The following is a 20,221-nucleotide window of genomic DNA, read 5'->3' as shown; positions in this document are numbered from 1 at the left end:
ATAGATGAAAAACTCAAAATGTTACCTACTATCATTGATATTATTATTGATTATAGTGGTATGTTTTAAAATAATCTTTTGAAACACTTTTTCTTTTCTTTAAATTATAGTGGCATGTCCGTAACTTACATATGTGATATATGTTGTATATTTATGTAATTTGTAATAATTATATACTACCATGTATAGTAGTATATATTACATATACTATATAATATGGTATGTATACTATGTAATATATACTTATTCTTTATTATACATAACACAATATATTACATATATATACTATATATGAAGACATACATATATAGTGTATATACTAAATTATTAGGTTGGTGCAAAAGTAATTGCAGTGTTTGCCATTACCTTCAACAGTAAAAACCGCAATAACTTTTGCACCAACCTATAATACATGTCTTCAAAAACTGATGAGCAGAATCTCTGAACTCAGCCAAACACAGAAGGATCCTAGGGTATGGGTGATTGTTGAAATACATGCTGCAAAATATTCCTCTTAAAAGCCTCACTCTGTAATCTGAAACTTCTAATATTCTGGCTGTCTTTGAGTGTGGTAAGCTCATATTTTGAGGTCAATAATTCGTATTCCCTTTAAATAACACCAGTTGTTTGCCTCTGGACAATGATAATCTTTAACGTGGGAAGATTTAATCCTAATTGCAAGAGGTCTTACAGACAGAAGTGACTTCCAAAAACACAGACCAATATTTCCTGGAATAAAATTCCAGATATTAACAGGCTTTATTATGGCGGCCTACATCAGTGTGTCAATGCATAAGAACATAAGCTGAAAAAAAAAATTGGCTCAGATCATAAAAATAAAGCTTAACAGTTGGATTCAACATCTCTTATCATCTACCACTCCCCACAGACATCTCATCTCTGAATCCCGATCCGTTATTCTTGAGCTAGGTACACACATTCAATACTCTGTAGCCCAAGGCAATGCCTACAATCTAAGTTCTAGGGCAGAGACTACCATATTCAGTTTTTTTATTGTTTCTCCAAGTCAATTATTTCTTAGAAATGTATTAAATTTTCTCATGCCAGATTTTATGTGATTTAATTATGGAACACTAGAGAAAATCAGGGATTTAAAAGAATTTTTCATGCCTCTCAGCCATGATCCAAGGTGACTGGTTGTACGTGGTAAAGGATAGCATCTACTCAGTCCCCGCGATTTGAAGACATATGTAACCAGCACTTGCCACCTTATCATTATACTCTAGAAGGCCATCAACCAAGACTTCATTCCGGATGTCCTAGCTCTCAGAGAACATCCCTTTCGACCCAATTGTATTGTCTGTTCATACTCTATTATTACAGTAAATGTGAGTGAACAGCAGTGTATTGACTTTTAATTATGTATAGTATATTTTTAAAATTTGTAATTACTATTCCTTTATACGTCTCTAAAAATCTTGTAATTATGATGCTAAACACTATCACACCATTGGAAATGGCAGAACTGTTCAGATTTGCCAATATCTGGGTGATTACTCTTGCTTGCAAAGGTTTTTAGAGAAGTAATAATTATGTGCTTAGCATTTAAGCTATTTCTCCAAGTTTACAATTATTATTCTTTCTTTCTGCAGAGAGCACTGTGACTTACAAAGAGTAAGAAAACTAGAAACTTTTGTTTGGTTTGCCAATGTATTGGCAGCATGATTGGGACAGAATCCAGGTCGTGCCCCAGGAGAAAGCTATTCGTGACACCATCTCTTCGCACCCTGAAAACATATTTATTAATTCAGTGTTTGACGTGTGTTTGTAATTACTGATGTGTATTTATGGGTTTCAGGTGATTTTTTTAAATCTTAGAATCTCTGCCCCTTATTGAGGGTGGTCTTAAGGTAATAGGACATTTACTGAAACAACCTTCTGTACCAAACATGATGCCTTCTTTTACCTCCGTGGCTTCCAGCTTCAACCTGTACTCCATGTTCCTTCCAGACTCTGTGCTCCATCCACAGCAAACATTGCAGCTTGCTAAGCAGCCTGTGCTGTTGCTTCTGGGCCTTTGCATCGGATGTGGTCCCTGCTTAACAGACCTTCCCTAGCTCTTTGCCTGCACACAATATTCAGCTCACCCTTCAATTCAACGCAGCTAACTCACCTTTTCTTCTCTAACAGCCTCATCCCCTCCCCTAGAGACTTATCCACTTCTCTTTGTGCTACACTGGTATACTAGGCATTTCTGTCATTTTTTTTCCTGTATAACATCCTCTGAATGTAGCATCTATTTAGTAATTATCCTATTTGAGGATGGAACTGTCTTTAAAAGAATCTTCAAGATATATACAACCAAAAATGGCAAACAGAGTAACACCTACACAAGTTTGGTACAGTGCCAGAAACACATGCTTTATTTTTCTGGACAAATTAAAGAAATTCACCTTTGGTCACGTCCACTTCTATATTTGGACATTTTCATGTGGTTTCTGGGTACTTCTCTCTTCTTCATTCCTCTTGTTTTTTTTCCTGGCTTATTTTTACATTAGTAGTTCAATTTTTAAAGTTCCTGAAACAAATGCAAAAAGTTGGTATGGTATTATTCAAAGTATAAGATCAATTTGTAGATCTTAGGAAATTCTAATTCTATGAGTCACTTTACTTCTTCTGTATGGGTCTCCTTTTATTCACTTAAACTGTTAATGTAACAAGAATTTATCTACTGAGTGATTGCACCAAGCACCCTGTCCTTATTCCTTGCAGGGAAATAGTAGGAGTGAAGAATCTCCTTAGTCATTATTTTAAAGTATTTTTTTCAAGTCAGTGAAACTACAACAGTAATGACAAAGTTAAAAGCATTTAGATTACAACTTCAAACAGTGATTATATCTCAAACATGTGCTATTAAAAAATCTTCGGGAGTTAGAATGTGATAAGATTTGTCATTCATTTTCACAGATATTTGGAAGATATTTCAAATAATAAATTTTGCTACTAAGTGGTAATTTAATTGTGCATTTAGACTCAAATTTCTCTGGACAAACATCCTACTTAAATTTTTCTTACCCATAGTAGATTTTATTCGAACGAGAGTAAACACTTTAAAAGCTTTGATGGAAGAATTAGTAAGTACCAATGACTCATAGTTCATCTAGCATTTTTCTTCCCTCATGCATTTTGATGACCATTTAATGGGTTACACCACCAAAACAGCTCCATTAAAAATTTTCAAGCCAGAATAAGAAGGTAAAATTAACCCACAGTTTTTCAGGTAGATCCATGAATTAAGACAACTACAGGAAACATCAATGGGTAAAAAAAAATGTATTCTCTTTTTATAAGTTTATAATAATTATTTATTAGGATCACTGTCCTTCAAAGTTCTAAATTTAATTGAAGAAAACTTGTTAATGCTTATAGAAGAGTCACTTTGTTAAATTTATCATGTTTGTATATTAATTGCTGATACGTGAGATAAATCTAAACATGATATAATCAGTCATAATATTTGATTTTTAAATTGGCAATTACATTTCTTGATTATTGATTTAGAAGAATTTTCTTTTTTTCTTTCTTTCTTTCTTCTTTCTTTCTTTCTTTTTCTTTCCTTCCTTCCTTCCTTCTTTCTTTCTTTCTTTTTCTTTCTTTCTCTTTCTTTCTTTCTCTTTCTTTCTTTCTTTCTTTCTTTCTTTCTTTCTTTCTTTCTTTCTTTCTTTCCCTTCCTTCCTTCCTTCCTTCTTTCTTTTCTTTTCTTTTCTTTTCTTTTCTTTTCTTTTCTTTTCTTTTCTTTTCTTTTCTTTTCTTTTCTTTTCTTTCTTTTCGGATCTCACTCTGTTGCCCAAGCTGGAATGCAGTGGCACAGTCATGGCTCATTGCAGCCTTGACCTCTCAGACTAAACTGGCCCTCCCACCTCAACCTCCCAAGTAGCTGAGACTACAGGCATGAGCCACCAGGCCCAGCTATTTTTTTAATTATTATTATTTGTAGGAGTGAGGTCTCACTATGTTGCCCAGGCTGGTCTTGAACTTTTGGGTTCAAGCAATCCGCCCGCTGCAGTCTCCCAAAGAGCTGAGATTATAGGCATGAGCCACCATGCCTGACCTAGAAAAATTTTCAATATGTTACAGAATGTTTATCAATCTGGTAGTGCTATTAAAATAGGGTCTTGGAAATACCCTTCTGGCAGCAGAGAGCAGATCTGGTGGCAGGGAATATGACCAACTCACAGAAAGGGCACAAGCAAGGAAACAGTGTGAGGTGGTAGCAAGAGTGATGAAGAGAACAAGGCAGATTCAACAAGTGCATGGAAGTAAAATCAGCAGAACTTGATAGATCTGTTAGCTATGCAGAAGAAGAGAAAAGAAAGAAAGTGAAAGATGGCTTGGTCAATTCTATCCCAGGTCTTTCCAGAAAGGAATTCAGGGAGGACCTGGTTTGGGAAAGGCCAAAGGTGGGAGCAATGATGAAACGGGTGTAATCCATGGTCAGAGACTCTGAAAGAGGGCATCACTTTAAAACACATAAGTAATTTTTAAAAATCCTAATTATTATATCACCAGTGAACTTGGTGAAAAAAAGAATTGGGAAGGCTGATAATAAAATGCTTTTTCTAAAGGGATCTCTCTGAAGAATTCAGTTTTATTATTTCAATAGGTTTTGGTGAAACAGGTGGTGTTTGGTTACATGAATAAGTTCTTTAGTGTTGATTTCTGAAATTTTGGTGCACCCATCACCCTAGCAGTGTACACTGTACCCAATGTGTAGTCTTTTATCCCTCATCCCCCTCCAACCCTTTCCCCTGAGTCCCCAAAGTCCATTGTAAAATTCTTATGCCTTTGCATCTTTATAGCTTAGCTCCCACTTATGAGTGGGAACATATGATGTTTAGTTTTCCATTCCTGAGTTACTTCACTTAGAATAATGGTCTCCAATTCCACCCAGGTTGCTGCGAATGCCATTATCTCATTCCTTTTCAAGGCTGAGTAGTATTCCATGTGTCTATGTGTATGTGTATATATATATATATACACACACATATAGATATAGATATATATACATGTGATATATAGGTATATATCAGATTTTCTTTATCCACTCATTGATTAGTGGGCATCTGGCTGGTTGTATATTTTTGCAATTTCAAATTGTGCTGCTATAAACTTGCACGTGCAGGTATCTTTTTCACACAATGACTTCTTTTCCTCCGGGTAGATACACAAGAGTATGGGATTGCTGGATCAAATGATAGATCTACTTTTAGTTCTTTAAGGAATCTCCACACTGTTTTCCATAGTTGTTGTATTATGTTGGTGCAAAAGTAATTGCAGCTTTTGCCATTAAAAGTAATGAGTAATGAGCCTACCCTTTAATCTGCCATGGAGAATGATGATCACAATAAGAGACTTAATATTTATTCTGTGCTTCCCAGGTGTCAGGCATTATATGCTGTTCTATGTCTTATCTCAGCCATTGAGAAGTCCTATCAGGCAGGGCTGATTGTCCCCACTTACAAAAGGGTGAGATCTAGCTCCGAGAGGATTCATGATATGCCACAGGACTGACAGCCAGGAGTAACTTTCAGGACTGCTCTGAACAGGCAACCCTAGGGAGAACTGCATGAGCCCACAATCTGGGATCAATGAGCAGATAAGAGAGATGAGAGAGGACAAAGCTGCTCCTCTGCTCCTTTTTCCCCCCAACTTTCTCCTTTAAGATCCATCTTTAGGGGCAGCAGGGAGAACAAATGGGTGCAATGGGAAGTGGGGTCCCGGAGCTCAGAGGCAATAAGAGCAGCTGACGTGCATGGGGCTGAGGTTCCAGGTAGAGCTGGATTTTACTCCAAAGTGTGCAGAACCCAATTTCAACTATCTTTGAAGAATCACAAAGAAAGTGAAAGGGCAAAGCCACGAGTCCTGGAAACCTCAAATAGTCATACTTGATGGTATTTTCTGGTAAACCTGTGGAATGGACTATTGTGCTACAGACTTATAAGCCCTTTAGAAAAAGCAGTCATGATTTTCAGGAGTCAGCATGGCTTCACTAACAGCGAGTCACACCTCATTTGCTTTCTGACATTTGACTGGACTGGCAGCTTGGAAGATGACATAGATGTGGGGTAGCTGGGTTCCATCAAAGCATGTGACAGAGTTCTGTTTAATATGTTCACGGAAGCACAGCAGGATGACATGAATGGACTGATAGCAAAATCGGATGCAACGTAAAGCAGTGAATAACTATTTTTTTAAAAAGTGGTGATTAATGTACTGATATCAGCCTGAAAGGAAGTCATTAGCAGTAAGCCAAAAGGTTCTGATACGATTAAATCCAGTCAAATGCTTTTATCATTCACTTACTTGAAGGCATGGAAAACATGCTTCTCAAATAAGTGGGTAATCTAATGATTGTGGGAATGTCTACTACAGCAAATGACTGTATCAAGATTTAAATAATCTAGGGATGCCAGTATGAAGCACAAAAGAAGGTGTTGGAAATTTCTTTCTGAGAAATCCTTTGAAACAAGATAGATCCCTCATCAAGCCAGAGCTGGTAAGAATTTCTGCTTTTGACTTGTATTTAATTTTGAATTGAATTTGGTGAATAAAATTTGGCTTCTTTTCCTCCTCCTGTAGAAACTAACTCCAAAATAAGAAGCAAAACAAACAAATGAACTTCATCTTTAATTTTTAAAAAAGAAAAATAAAAATGAAGGAAAGAAAGAATAAAACAGAAGCCTAGCCTCTCAAAAGCAGTGACAATCAAACATGGAAACCCTCGAGGGTGGACACCTATGGTCCCAGACCTCAGAAAAGGCCATCAAAGTCCACTTGTTCAAGGTAGATGGCAGCCATGCAGGTTAGATCTAAACTCGGGTCACAGGATGGGGATGAGTTCTGCCCGGCCCTGAGAGCGTCCCCAGAGTTCGTCTGGCTCTGAGAGAAAGTTGAGGAAAAGTGGCTGAGAGAGCACCGTGCCAAAGTGTCTTCAGAAGGTTGTCCTTGGTGACAACATGAGGCAGGTGGTGAGGCAAGGAGAAGTTCCACTGGGAGTCCCCCGAATGTTGATCCTGCTTGGATGAAAGGAAATGAGAGTCCAGAAGCTCATCTGCACTCCATAGTCCTGAGTCATTCTGAGAATTCCTAACATCCTGAAGCACACGCTGCCCCAGGTCCCACATGGACTTCCTACAGATAGTCAATATGTGGAGAGCTTGTCTTGTTCAAACATGAGAAATATTCGAGAAATAATTTAAAAGGAATAAGCAAAATATACAAAGATTGTACAATTCTACAAATGGGAAGAAAGAACAGAGAAATTAATTTCTAATGCAGACAAAAACCTGCATTAGAAAAACGCTACCACAAAGAGAGATTATGATCCAACCTATCTTCACAAATTACCAACAAAATGAAACCATCATCTGTATAAACAAAACACGCAGCAGAAACACATTAGTTCATGGGTGATATATTGGGACCTCAGAAGAATGTGCTATGTGAGCTGGTGTAGCTCAGGAAAAAATGTGAAAAATATAAATGCACAGGAAAAAATGATAGCTAAATGGGAAGCAGCACTAAGGAGAAATACTATGAAAATACAGCTCTGCACATAATGGACTGTACTGAGAAAAACACTCAAAATATAAAGAAAATGAGCAAAGAGTTAATGGGATTACAGTGAAAAACAGTAGTTATGGAACAAGGCAAGTAAAATCTAGAAAGTGTGATGGATTTACCTAAGTAGGGTGTATTAGTCAGGGTTCTCTAGAAGGACAGAACTAATAGGATATATATATATACACACACACTATATATATACACATACACATATATATGTGTGTATATACATATATACATATAAATACATATACATATACACACATATATAGTATAGGATATATATATATAGTGTGTATATATATATATACTTATAGGATATATATATATAGTGTGTATATATATATACTAATAGGATATATATATACACTAATAGGATATATATATACACTAATGGGATACATAATATATATACTAATAGGATATATACTATATATATACTAATAGGATATATACTATATATATACTAATAGGATATATATAATATATATACTAATAGGATATATATTATATATATACTAATAGGATATATATTATATATATACTAATAGGATATATATTATATATATACTAATAGGATATATACTATATACTAATAGGATATATACTATATATATACTAATAGGATATATACTATATATATACTAATAGGATATATACTATATGCTAATAGGATATATACTATATATATACTAATAGGATATATACTATATATATACTAATAGGATATATACTATATATATACTAATAGGATATATATTATATATATACTATTAGGATATATATATATATACTAATAGGATATATATATACTAATAGGATATATATATATATTAATAGGATATATATTATATATATACTAATAGGATATATATTATATATATACTAATAGGATATATATATATACTGATAGGATATATATATATACTATTAGGAGATATCTATATCTATATCTATATCTATATATATATGTAGTGGAGTTTATTAAGTATTAACTCACATGATCACAAGGTCTCACAATAGGCCGTCTACAAGCTGAGGAGCAAGGAAGCCCAGTCTGAGTCCCCAAACTGAAGAACTTGAGAGTTCTGTGTTAGAGGGCAGGAAGCATCCAGCACAGCAGAAAGATGTAGGCTGGGAGCCTAGGCCAGGAGCCTAGGCCAATCTAGCCTTTTTGCATTTTTCTGACTGCTTAATATCCTGCCCATGCTGGCAGCTGATTAGATGGTGCCCACCCAGATTAAGGGTGGGTCTGACTTTCCCAGCCCATTGACTCAAATGTTCATTTCTTTTTTTTTTTTTTTTATTTTTTTTTTTGAGACGGAGTCTCGCTCTGTCGCCCAGGCTGGAGTGCAGTGGCGGGATCTCGGCTCACTGCAAGCTGCGCCTCCCGGGTTCACGCCATTCTCCTGCCTCAGCCTCCCAAGTAGCTGGGACTACAGGCGCCCGCCACTACGCCCGGCTAATTTTTTGTATTTTTAGTAGAGACGGGGTTTCACCGTTTTAGCCGGGATGGTCTCGATCTCCTGACCTCGTGATCCGCCCGCCTCGGCCTCCCAAAGTGCTGGGATTACAGGCGTGAGCCACCGCGCCCGGCCTCAAATGTTCATTTCTTTTGGCAACATCCTCACAGACACACCCAGGATCAATACTTTGCATCCTTCAGTCCATTCAAATTGACACTCAGTATTAACCATCACATAGGGTATCAAAATAACAAAAGAGTAAAATATTCAAAAAACATTATTTTAAAAAACTTCAAAAAACAAATATTTACATTTCCAGTTTGAGAGGGTATCTTATGTCCCGAGGAAAATCCATGTAGAAAAGACAACCATAAGACATAGCTAGTAAACTTTCTGAACCTTAAAGGACCCTGAGGTTAGAAGATGTATTTGTTTGCCATTGCTACTGTAGAAAAATACACAAACTTAGTAACTGAAAATACTGCAAATTTATGATCTCACAGTTCTGGAGATTGGCAGTCCAATTAGTCTTCTGGGGCTGAAATCAGGGTGCTGACACACTTGCATTCCTCCTGCAGGCTCTAGAGGGGATCCACCTCCTCACCTTGCCCAGCACCTATACTTCCTTCCTCACGGCTCCTCCCTCCACCTTTAAAACCAGCCTCATGGCATCTGCAAATCTGTCTGACCTCTGCTTCTGTCCTCACAGCTCTTTTTCTGCCTCTAGTGCTCCTGCCTTTTTCTTACCAAGGCCCTTAAACACACCCGGATAATTCATAATCATCTTCCCACTCCAATATCAGTAAATTAATCCCATCTGTAGAGTCCCTTGCTACCATTTTAAGGTAGCATATCCACAGTTTTCAGGGATTAGGTGAAGCACATCTTGGAGAGAGGGTGGCATTATTCTGCCAACCATAAAAGGCAAATGAAAAGTTCGTCTAGAAGGTAGAAGGAAAGAAAAACTAAACTTCTGTAGATTTTTCCACAGTGGCAGGGAAATAATGGAAAATATTTGTATTCATTATTTGTTGCTGCCTAACAAATTACTCAAAAACTTAGTGTCAACAACACACCAAAAACGACATATTATCCATATCTTTTCTGCAGATGAAGAATTTGGGAGCAGTTTAAGGGCAGTTCTGGCTCAGGGTGCCTAGTGAGGTTGCCATCAGAATGGCAGCTGGGACTCCAGGCATCTGAGGCTGCCTGGGCCAGAGGGTCTGTGTCCAAGGTGCCTTCTCACAGGATGGAAGGCAGTGCCGGCATCGGTGAGGCTGCTTGGGCGTCTTCTACAGTCGCAGTACGGCAATTGGCTTCCTCCAGAATGAGACCCAAGAGAACAAGAGGCAGGCCTTGAAACTCATGTCATCATTTCTGTCCTGCCCTGTTTGTTAGAAGTGAGGCTCAATGGACCTCACACTGCATTTGTATCAAATGCCCACAAGAGGCAAATCTATAGATGCAGAAAGTAGATTTGTGGGTAGCTTAAGGCTGGAGAGGGGACTGGCAGGGCTGAGAGATGACAGAAGGTGTGGGTTTCTTTGGGGATAATGAAAATGTTCTGAGTGTGGTCATGGTGGTACATTTCTGTAAATATATAAATTTGAAAAACAGTGAATGTGCACTGTAAATTTTATGGTATATGTAGTGTATATGAACTCTATCTCAATAAGGCTGTTACCAAAAATACATACGTATTTAATGAAGTATACTATATAAAGTTACAGGTAAAGTTAGTCTGAAAACTAAAAAAAAAATTCAGATCAACAGAAAAAATAAATAGAAGACATGTAGTGAAATATTATGTAGTGTAAGATTTATAATAGCAAAAAATATACATAAAACGCTAGAACACAAAGAAAGCTTTCCATGTAAAAGTGATCAATATATCTGACATCCTCTTAACTAGTAAAGGAAAAAGACTCAGCTTGATTGGGAGAATCACTTCAGGATGTGTACACGTATCAAGTCATCATGTTGTGCACCTTAAATATATGCCATGTTTATTTGTCAATCACGCCCCAATAAAACTGGGAAAAAAACAAAGCAAGAAATCGGCACATATATATTTAAGAGACAAACTAAAAAGTTGTAATTCAGAAATATTTAAGTTAACATGATGAGAATGGCATACTATGAAAATGCCAAGAATGTAAAGGGTCAGAATCTTAATATCAGATAGGGTTGCATTCTGGAAAATAAACAAACAAACAAAAAACACCAAAAAAAAAAAGACAAAGGCATTTTATATGTTAATTGTTGCTATCCACAGTGAAGACTGAAGGCATGAAATTTTATGCATAAAATAACATTATTAACATAGGAAAGCAAATCTTCTAGATAAAAATGAAATCATGAGAATTATAGACAAAAACAAGTATAGAATTCTTTCAGCCTATGATAGGTTTTCGAAATAACTAATTATATAGAATATCTCCATAGACCAATATTAGAAATTAAATTTCATTTTAGTAAGTGATACATAATTAATAAATAGCAAAGACATAAATGCTTAAAACCATACTGAGATTCCGGTCTGGCAATTCTTATCACATTTTATAACACAATGTATTAACAAGGGTATCATGAAGCAGATGTTTTCAGGCTTTTCTTGGGGGAGAGTAGATGTGAATAACTTTTAAGGTGAGCAATCTGATCATTTATCAAAATTTAAAATGTATATAATCTTTGATTCAATAATTCCACTTCCAGAAATTTATTCTACTAATATACATACATGTTGACAAGATGATATGAGAAACAAAATACTTAAAGTGTTGTCAGATTATAACCCAAATTTAAAATACATACCAATTTTTCTATGCTGATACAAATGACTGACTGGATAAAGAAATAGAGAGAATAGACAAATCTCCCATGCAGAAGAACTCCAAATAATGTATGCAGATGCTTCACTCTCAAGGAGAGGGAGCATAACTCCCCACTCGCTAAGTGTAGTATGCAAACAGTGACGTCCTTCTGATTGTACAGGACCAGAGGAAAGGAGCAAATTTATGGTGGAGAAACCTGACCAAGACTCCCTTAACCAGGTGATCAAGGTCACCATCTGCAGAAAGAAGTAATGTTGACAGTATGCACCCGGGATATAATGTGATAGAAATGACACTTTATCTTTGTGATTTTCATTCTGAAAAGCCATAAGCCCACTCTAATCATGAGCAGTTCCATAGAGAGGCCTTCTCCGAAAGACCTGAGCAGTTGTCCTCAAAACTGTCCAGAGTCATCAAAAACAAGGACTGAGAAACTCCAAAAGCCAAGAGGAGACTAAGGAGACATGGTGACTAAATGTAACATGGGATCCTGGATGGGATCCTAGAACAGAAAAATACATGAGGTAAAATAAGACAATTTGAAGAACTATGGGCATAGTTAATAATGATGAATCAACATTGGATCATCATTGTAACAAGTGCACCACACACAATATTACAGGTGTTGATAAAGGAACTTGTTGTGTGGTGTATGGGAACTCTCTCTAGTATCTTTTCAATATTCATGTATTTCTAGCACTGTTCCAAAAATAAAATTTACTAAAATTAAGGGGATGGGAAAAAATGAAAATCACAACATACCAAAACCCCTGGGATGCAGCTGAAGCAATGCTTAGGAGGAAATTTTTTAGCTTTAAATGATTACATAAGAAGGGAAGGAAGATTCAAAAGCAGTTATCTAAACTTCCATCCTAAGAAGATAAAAAGAAGATCAAATCAAAACCAAAATAGGAGAAATGGTAGCAATAAGGAATTAAGAGAGAATGGAAATTAATAAAATACAGAATGAACTAACAAATGATTTTTTCTCATTGTGTATTTTATTTTCATTTATTAAAATTAATATTTTATTTTAGTAAAATACAAAATGAGAAAAAATTATTGAAAGAAAAGCTAGCTTTTTGAAAAGATAAAATTTGGCAAGCCTCTAGCAAGAGAGAGAGGGAGATCTGAGAGGTCTGTTCATGTCTTTTTCATACTTACCTATAATATTTTGCCTTTGTCTCTGAATTTTAATATGTTTTTCTATATTTGAGATATCAGCCACTTTTCCGAGGTATTTGTTGAGAATATTTTCTCTTAGTTTTCAATTGCCTTTTGATTTTGCTATGAGGAGATTTTATCATGTAAAATTTGAAGAGGTATATTTTTTATTTAGTAAAATGTATTAATCTTTTGTTTTATTGCCTACGAAGTTTGAGTCATAGTTAGAAAGCTTTTCTCTACACCAATGTTAGGGAGAATTTATACATTTTCTTCTACTAATTGTTTGATTTCTTTAATATATTTATTTCTAATCAATTTAGAGTATATTCTTAGATACAAGACATGAATCTAATTTTACCTGTTTCCAAATGGCTATTCATTTGTCCTAGCCAAACTTATTAAAACGTCCACCATTATTTCAGTGATTTGAGATGCCATCTTTGTAATATACTACATTTCCTTATGTACTTGGGTCTAATTTTAGACTTTACACAGTTTTTCTTCCACTTGTCTACTTGTCTATTCATGTTTCAGCCTCACGCTGTTTTAATTATACAGGACATATTACATGTTTTAATACCTGTAAAAGCAACTCCCCCTTCTTCGATTTTTTGGGTTTTAGTGTTTTTCCAAGTATATTTGCATGCTAGTTTTTCCATATGAACTTTATAATCAAGTTGTCTAATACTATAAAGTAGCTCATTGGCATTTTTATTGGGATTGCATTGATTTTGTAAATCAACCTGGGGGAAGATACATCTTTAAAATGCTGAGTCTTCCTGACCCCAAAACTAGACTGACTTTCCATTTATTTGGTCATGTCTACTTTTACAATTTTCACAAGTTCCAAATTTTCCTTATAGAAGTTTTGCACATTTTCTGTCACATTTATTTCTAAGTAGTATTTCTTATGCTATTGTAAGTGAAAATTTCTCTAACTGCTTATTGTTTTTATGTATGAACTCTGTTGATATTTATGTGTTAGTTTTATATCTTATTACATCACTGCATTCTTTCATTGAATTAATTTTATCATTCATTCTCTGGAGATTTACAAGTATACTATCATATTATCTACAAGTAGAGGAACTTTTAAAATCCATTCTCATGTCTCTAGCTGATTTTTCTTATACAATTGCATTAGCTAGTACCTCTGTTAGAATATGCACAGGTTGCACAGACAGTGAGAATCTTTGCCTTTTTCCTATCTTACTGGAAATGTCTTTAGTATCTGTAATGTTTCTCTATGGAATAACATGGTAAATTTAGGGATATATATATGTATGTGTGTATACGCATATATATGTATACGCATATATATAGATAGATAGATACGCGTATACACACATAGATAGATAGACACATCTATTTATGTGTGTGGTAAGCACATCCTTGCTAAGAAAACAACTCTCAGTTACTATTCCCTTGAGTGGTTTTAATCATGAATGGATGTTGAATTTTGTTAAAGGCTTTTTTAGCGTCTATGGAGACTGCAAAGAAAAATGAGTTAAAATTCTAAACAACTTTTTAAACTAAAGGTATTTCACATATTTTAATTGAAAAAGAATCATTAAGACAATATAACAAATGGTCTTTCCTCATTTAAGAAATTTTTTTTCAAAAGTGATCTTCCAGAACTTGTGTTCCAATGGACACACTTTAAGAAACAATGAGCCTGTTGACTCCACTCTTCCTCCTGTATTTTATATGTGAATAGAGGTATTTCTGCAAAGGTTAACACAAATGTTTGTTTGGGTTACAGTCAGAAAGAAAGCCTGTACTTCATGGCCCTTGTTCACGGCCAGCTACCTCTCAAAGTCATTTCAGGAATTTTATGATGAGATTCCCTTAACAGAGTTCTCACATAACAAGCCAAGCTCATTACTCAACTGGAGACTTAAAAAAAAATGGTAAAGATATCTTCAAAATCTAACTATTTGGAGAAGTCAGTCAATCATTATGGAGATACTGGGCATGAGCAAATGCTCACATGAAAGAAAGATTTGGCAATAAAGAGTACTGAGATTTTGTCAAATTATCTTGCGTGTGTTTTCTTTATTTCTTGTGAATTACCAAGGTTTACAGAAATTAGAATATATTTGACAGATAAACTATATGGTTTGTTTTTCTTTATTTTTCTTTTCTCCATTAGTAAAGGAGGCAGTATGGAGGATGAAAAGTTCCTTTTCATGAATTGAATTCTAATAACAGAATCACTGCAACTGAAATTGATAAAACCAGAGTGAGCACAGACAAAGCAAGTGGCTCATGTTAATACTTTCACCTGGTTCTTAGCCCATGGTTGGCTCGTCTTCAAGGCTAACTTTGCACAGGCTTAAATTCAACCGGTGCATTAAACCTGCAAGCACCATGACTTGCTTTTTCACTGTGAGGATTTGATTATATTGCCTTCACTCTTCAAATAGGCATAGACATTTTTATTCATGAAACCAAAATCCAGTTTTTCTCATTATCTAGTAATATGTCTCAGCTTTTACCAATTGTCTAAGAAAACACCAATAAAAAGTGCCAGACAAGGTATGCAGTAACAGGCAATCCAGAAAGAAGGCAAGGCATCCCAAATGTGATATTTTTGTTTTCTTCCTGTGTCATTGACCTTGTATTTTTATGAACATACAAATAAATGTAGTCCAAATTTGATTTTCATCTATTCACAATAGCACCAGGATTTTAATAATAATAATGAACAAGTATGCACAAGACCATGTTTTACACAGGCATAAAGAAAACACATGTACCCTGTTATGGCACAGAAATTGTGCCATAACTGTGTTATTGTGGGATTTGTTACTTTTTATTTTTTATTGTGGGCTTTGTTTTATATATTTTATGTATTTTATGTTGTGGGCTTTGTTACTTTTTATTGCAGAAAAATTAAGCATTTTGTTAAGTGTCTACCTCTGTCTTCAAGGTGCAGCTCCTTACCACCTCTTTTTGGACCCATGGACAACTGCCTGTGGTCACAGAGCATTTTGCAATTGACTTAAGGTCCCACATTTCCCCCAGAAGCCTTGGACCTCGAGCTCCAATGTAGTCTCGCAGTCCTGACACACTTCATCTTTTCAGTCCCTTTGGGTTGACTTTGACTCTTCTGTCTGCTGGCAGATTTGTTTTAACCTTTAGGTTTAAATGCATTTTCTCAGAAAAAATAAGCCATAACATTGCATTAATGAAGCTTATTCATTTAGGTTGTGCAGGGATCTTTTCCTTTGATGTGCATATTTAGTTCCCATTAATGGTAATAAGAGTGAATTATGTGGACATATTGACATAAGAATAGATCCCTTGGGCTCTATGTGTAGAGTACATTTTGTTAATTGGGAAGTACTTTAAAAGAAACCAAACAAATATACCCAGGAAATCAGAAAAATAAAATAAAATTACTTTGAAAAAAGAGAGGAAAAATATTTTGCTGACCTAGGGAAGGATCTGGTTTGAGAGGATGCCAAACTATAGTTCCCAAGTATGATGGAATGCTTCTCCCAGTGAGAGACATTCGGAAAGAGTCCTGTCATTAGCTTTCCTTGCCATAGTCTCGCCATCTAAAGTCGTTCTCTTTGTAGCTGCACTGCCTGTGATGGAAAGGAGAGTGTCATGTACTGGCTATACAGTACCCTCCTAGGGACACAAATGTGACTAGCTATGGTCTCATGTCCACGGAGTCTCTTCAGTCAGAAGACTTCCCTTTGTGGCCTTGAATTGACTCTGGAGACTTTTCCAAGTGTCTTGACTAATTGAAGATGCCCTTCTTCAGTGGTTCCTAAAATTTATTAGATCTCAGCAGATCAAGCCTCCAGACTTCCTCTGGACAGCTTATTATCCCGCCCCGTTCTGTCTCCTATGACGAACTTGAACTTGTGAATGATAATTTCATAATTTCACATAGCACCATCTACAGAACACAGCATCAGTTTCTGACCAGCATCCACTTGGGCTCATCCCGTTCCTTGTATGGCACATTATGTCACCTTGCACTTCACTTGCATTTCATGAACTCTTAGGTTTGACTAAAACACACGAGCAGCTTCCTTCATAAAGTGGATAAGCACCGCGGAAGAACCAGCTTGCTTTCAGAATGTGCTCTTGTCCCGGAGTCTTCCTCAGATTAGACAACCTGAACAGATGGTGTTGGCAGCTGGGGGAACCAGGTGTGGACTTGGACCGGCGTCAGCAGAGGTCTACCATATTGTCCTGCTGCTACACTCCCTCTCCAGAGAGGGGCAGGGGAAGAAGGAGGAATGCAGGAGTGCCAGCCGTGCCTCTGGTCTGCTGTGTCGGCACATCCTGTTGTGACCTTCATGTCACCTACACAAAAGACTGGCTCGGTGAGCGTCTCTTCCAGCCACGAGGTGTCACAGGAGCTGTGCAAAAGTTAAATGCTCATCAGAAGCACATGAAATAGTAAGCAAGCTCTCTCCTCCCCACTCTCTGCCCCAGATTCAATTAGAGATGTAAATATATTCAAATGTTCTGCCTGATACCACCCTAGGGTGCTGCTGGGATTTTTCTGCTCTAGGCAAGATGGGGAAAAGAAGCCACAATCCCCCACTGCCCCCTCACAGCTTACAGACCCTCCCATAATAGTGTCACTAAAACATTTTACTGCCCTAGGCAACCACCTGCTCTTTCTGCCTGTAAAATCTGTCCCTGGCACAACTTAATTCATCTCTGCTGGGTGAATCCATATCACAAGTAGACAATCTAAGGTCAGGGTGGAAAAACGGTTCAAATGAATTCTAATATAAAACAGAACATTTTTACCACCCCTCCCTCCCAAACTATACCACCTTTATGTTCTGGTTCAACCATGGATATTTAGTTCTTTGCATTGCTGTCATGTTTTCTGTGGCATTACCAATTGTAGATAACTCATTAGGAAGAAGGAAAGAGGGATGCTTAAATGGGATATTTTTTACCCGGAGCAAATTTTTGTTATTTTTACCTCCATTCTGAGTTCTTTCCAGATTTTCTTATTATTGTGGGTGTCGTGTGTCCATTCAGAGGTTACCTGGTCAATCACTATAAAAATCCTTTTGAATTTTCAATAAGCAAATTGAAGGGTTTCATATGTGATAGTCCCTTGATGTTCATGTGCATCCTATGTTATATACGATGCATGTATTATATGTGTAAAGTCTGCCCCTGACACTTGCAAAGGCTTATTGAACAACACAAATGGAGCCTTCGTAACATCTGTAGAAATATTATAAAGTAATTATCCAGCCAGAAAACGGTTAAACATGATATATTCTGTCTACCTACCTTGACACACATATCCAGATACTGACCTAAAAGGCCAGATTGGAATGGACAATTCTCAGACTCTTCCAATTTCCAAGCTAGAATGTGGAGAGGCAAGGAGTGTTGACTCTGCTTGCCTGGCCCGCCTTCCCACGCTGGGCCCTGGGTGTGTGCAGGTGTGTCCTGGCCCTTGAATCTGGTTTCTATTCACTCCCCGACAAACCTCCACCCCTTGGCTACCTAGGACTCTGGAGTCCTCCTCAGCAAGGTAGATGGGGAATGCGCGCCTGCAGGCATCGGATGTAAACTGGAGACTGTTTCCTTGGGACGTCCAGGTTCCGGGCCTGCAGCCAGGGGACTGGAAAAGGAAGCATGAGCTCTAGGGGGCAATGTCCCCTTGATCGTTAAAAGTGCAAGGCCAGAGGAGGACCGGAAATGGGGGCCTCTATAGCATATAGGCCAGGACAGGACCCTCCCTGACCTAGGGCAAGGAGTGAGCCCCACGTGGCCAGCTCTCTCGTGGGAGGATCGTGTAGCTCTAAGAACAACCCTGGCTGCAAGTTTGCACCTTCATCTTTCTCTTCTCGTTTCCTCCTTACAAACCCTGCAAGGTGGGTGTCATTCCGAGCAAAGAAAGAGACTTGGAGGAGATAAGCAGTGTGTCCCCGCTGGTGCGGTGAGTAAGTGGCAGAGCGAGGGTTCCCAGCAGCCGCACGTGAGAACAGCCCACTCCCTCCTGCTCTCTGCTACACCCGGCAGGTCCGGTGGACTTAGTAAAAATGAAGCGAAAGCGGAAGGGGTGTGACTGGAAGCCTGCTGTTGATTCTGCCAACAGTCTACAAAGGAAGGTACAGTATGGGAGAGTCAGGATTCCCGGCGGGCATCTTCTTAGAACAGTTAAGCCACCTTGGCCAGAATGAAAATGGTGCTCAGGCTTCCCTTTTAGGTGCTGTTCTGCAAGACCACCAAGCTCTTCTCAAAGGGCTGCTGCATCAGCAAAGGGTGGGGGCTCCGCTTCACCAGACCTGTTTGCTGTTTCCAAACTCCTCTGGCCTAGGCTATCAAGAGGTTTTGAAAGTAGAGGTCAGACACCTGTTTTTACAAATTATGACTGATACAGAAAATGTTTTTCATGGCCTCTGTAATGAGCTGATTTATGCAAGAGGTTTCGAGTCCTATCTGGAAACGTAACACCCTGCAGCTCCATGCTTTCTGAAAAGCTAAATGTCTTGTATTGTGATAGGTCAGTTTAGAGTCGTATTCCAAACCCTGAACGTCAGGGGCTGCAAAGACAACATTTCCCGGTCCACAAGCCTCCTCCCCTACGTTGGTTTGGTTAGCGTTGCTATAGTAACCTCTAGCCTGTTTTATGACATGCTGGTGATTACCGAGCCCATGATAGTGAAGAAAATATCAGGTTACAAGGGCAGATGCCACTGTAAAACATCCTGTGTGACGAACATCCAATTTCCCAGCAGAGAGTGTGGTTTCTGCCACTCGGGAAGGTGGGGTGGAGAAACATCACGTCACAAACAACACCGGTTTGCAAATATTGATCTCAAACATCATCAAACAATTGTGTTGGAATTGTGCTTTTGTCTCCCCGAGGTGTGGAATCAATTCCATATTCTCCACAACTATCATCCTTAATGGTAGATGTTGGAAATAAAAAAAGTACAATCTGTGAAATTATTCTTTTGTATATAAATGGAAAAATAGATATCGTGGTTGAAAACCACCGCCTTCATTTTCCATCTGCTTCTTTGCATGGCAGTTTCTAGCATACAGCCTGAAGCAGCTAAAGTCGCATCAGTTGTCCAGCTGCTGGCATGGCTTGCAATTCCAGGGAGGTGCAGGGAGGAAAAGTCAACCGGAGAAAGGGGTGCTGAGCTGCATCGATGGTCTCCA

General features: G+C 37.5%; 2 annotated features.

Moving 5' to 3' along the window:
- Positions 1,838 to 3,037: an enhancer, noted in NCBI's record as "BRD4-independent group 4 enhancer chr13:110001130-110002329 (GRCh37/hg19 assembly coordinates)". NCBI's record gives its function as "activates an origin of replication core promoter dependent on BRD2, P300/CBP, MED14 and CDK7 cofactors, and independent of BRD4, by STARR-seq in HCT116 cells {active_cell/tissue: HCT116}" and the evidence as "EXISTENCE:reporter gene assay evidence [ECO:0000049][PMID:35650434]".
- Positions 18,196 to 18,697: an enhancer, noted in NCBI's record as "H3K4me1 hESC enhancer chr13:109985471-109985971 (GRCh37/hg19 assembly coordinates)". NCBI's record gives its function as "activates a minimal SCP1, AML or CMV promoter by ChIP-STARR-seq in naive H9 embryonic stem cells {active_cell/tissue: H9 hESC(naive)}" and the evidence as "EXISTENCE:reporter gene assay evidence [ECO:0000049][PMID:30033119]".

Source organism: Homo sapiens, chromosome 13, assembly GCF_000001405.40.
Source record: "Homo sapiens chromosome 13, GRCh38.p14 Primary Assembly".
NCBI lineage: Eukaryota > Metazoa > Chordata > Mammalia > Primates > Hominidae > Homo > Homo sapiens.
Note: the sequence above shows the minus strand (reverse complement) of the source record. Positions and strands in the feature narration are given on the sequence as shown.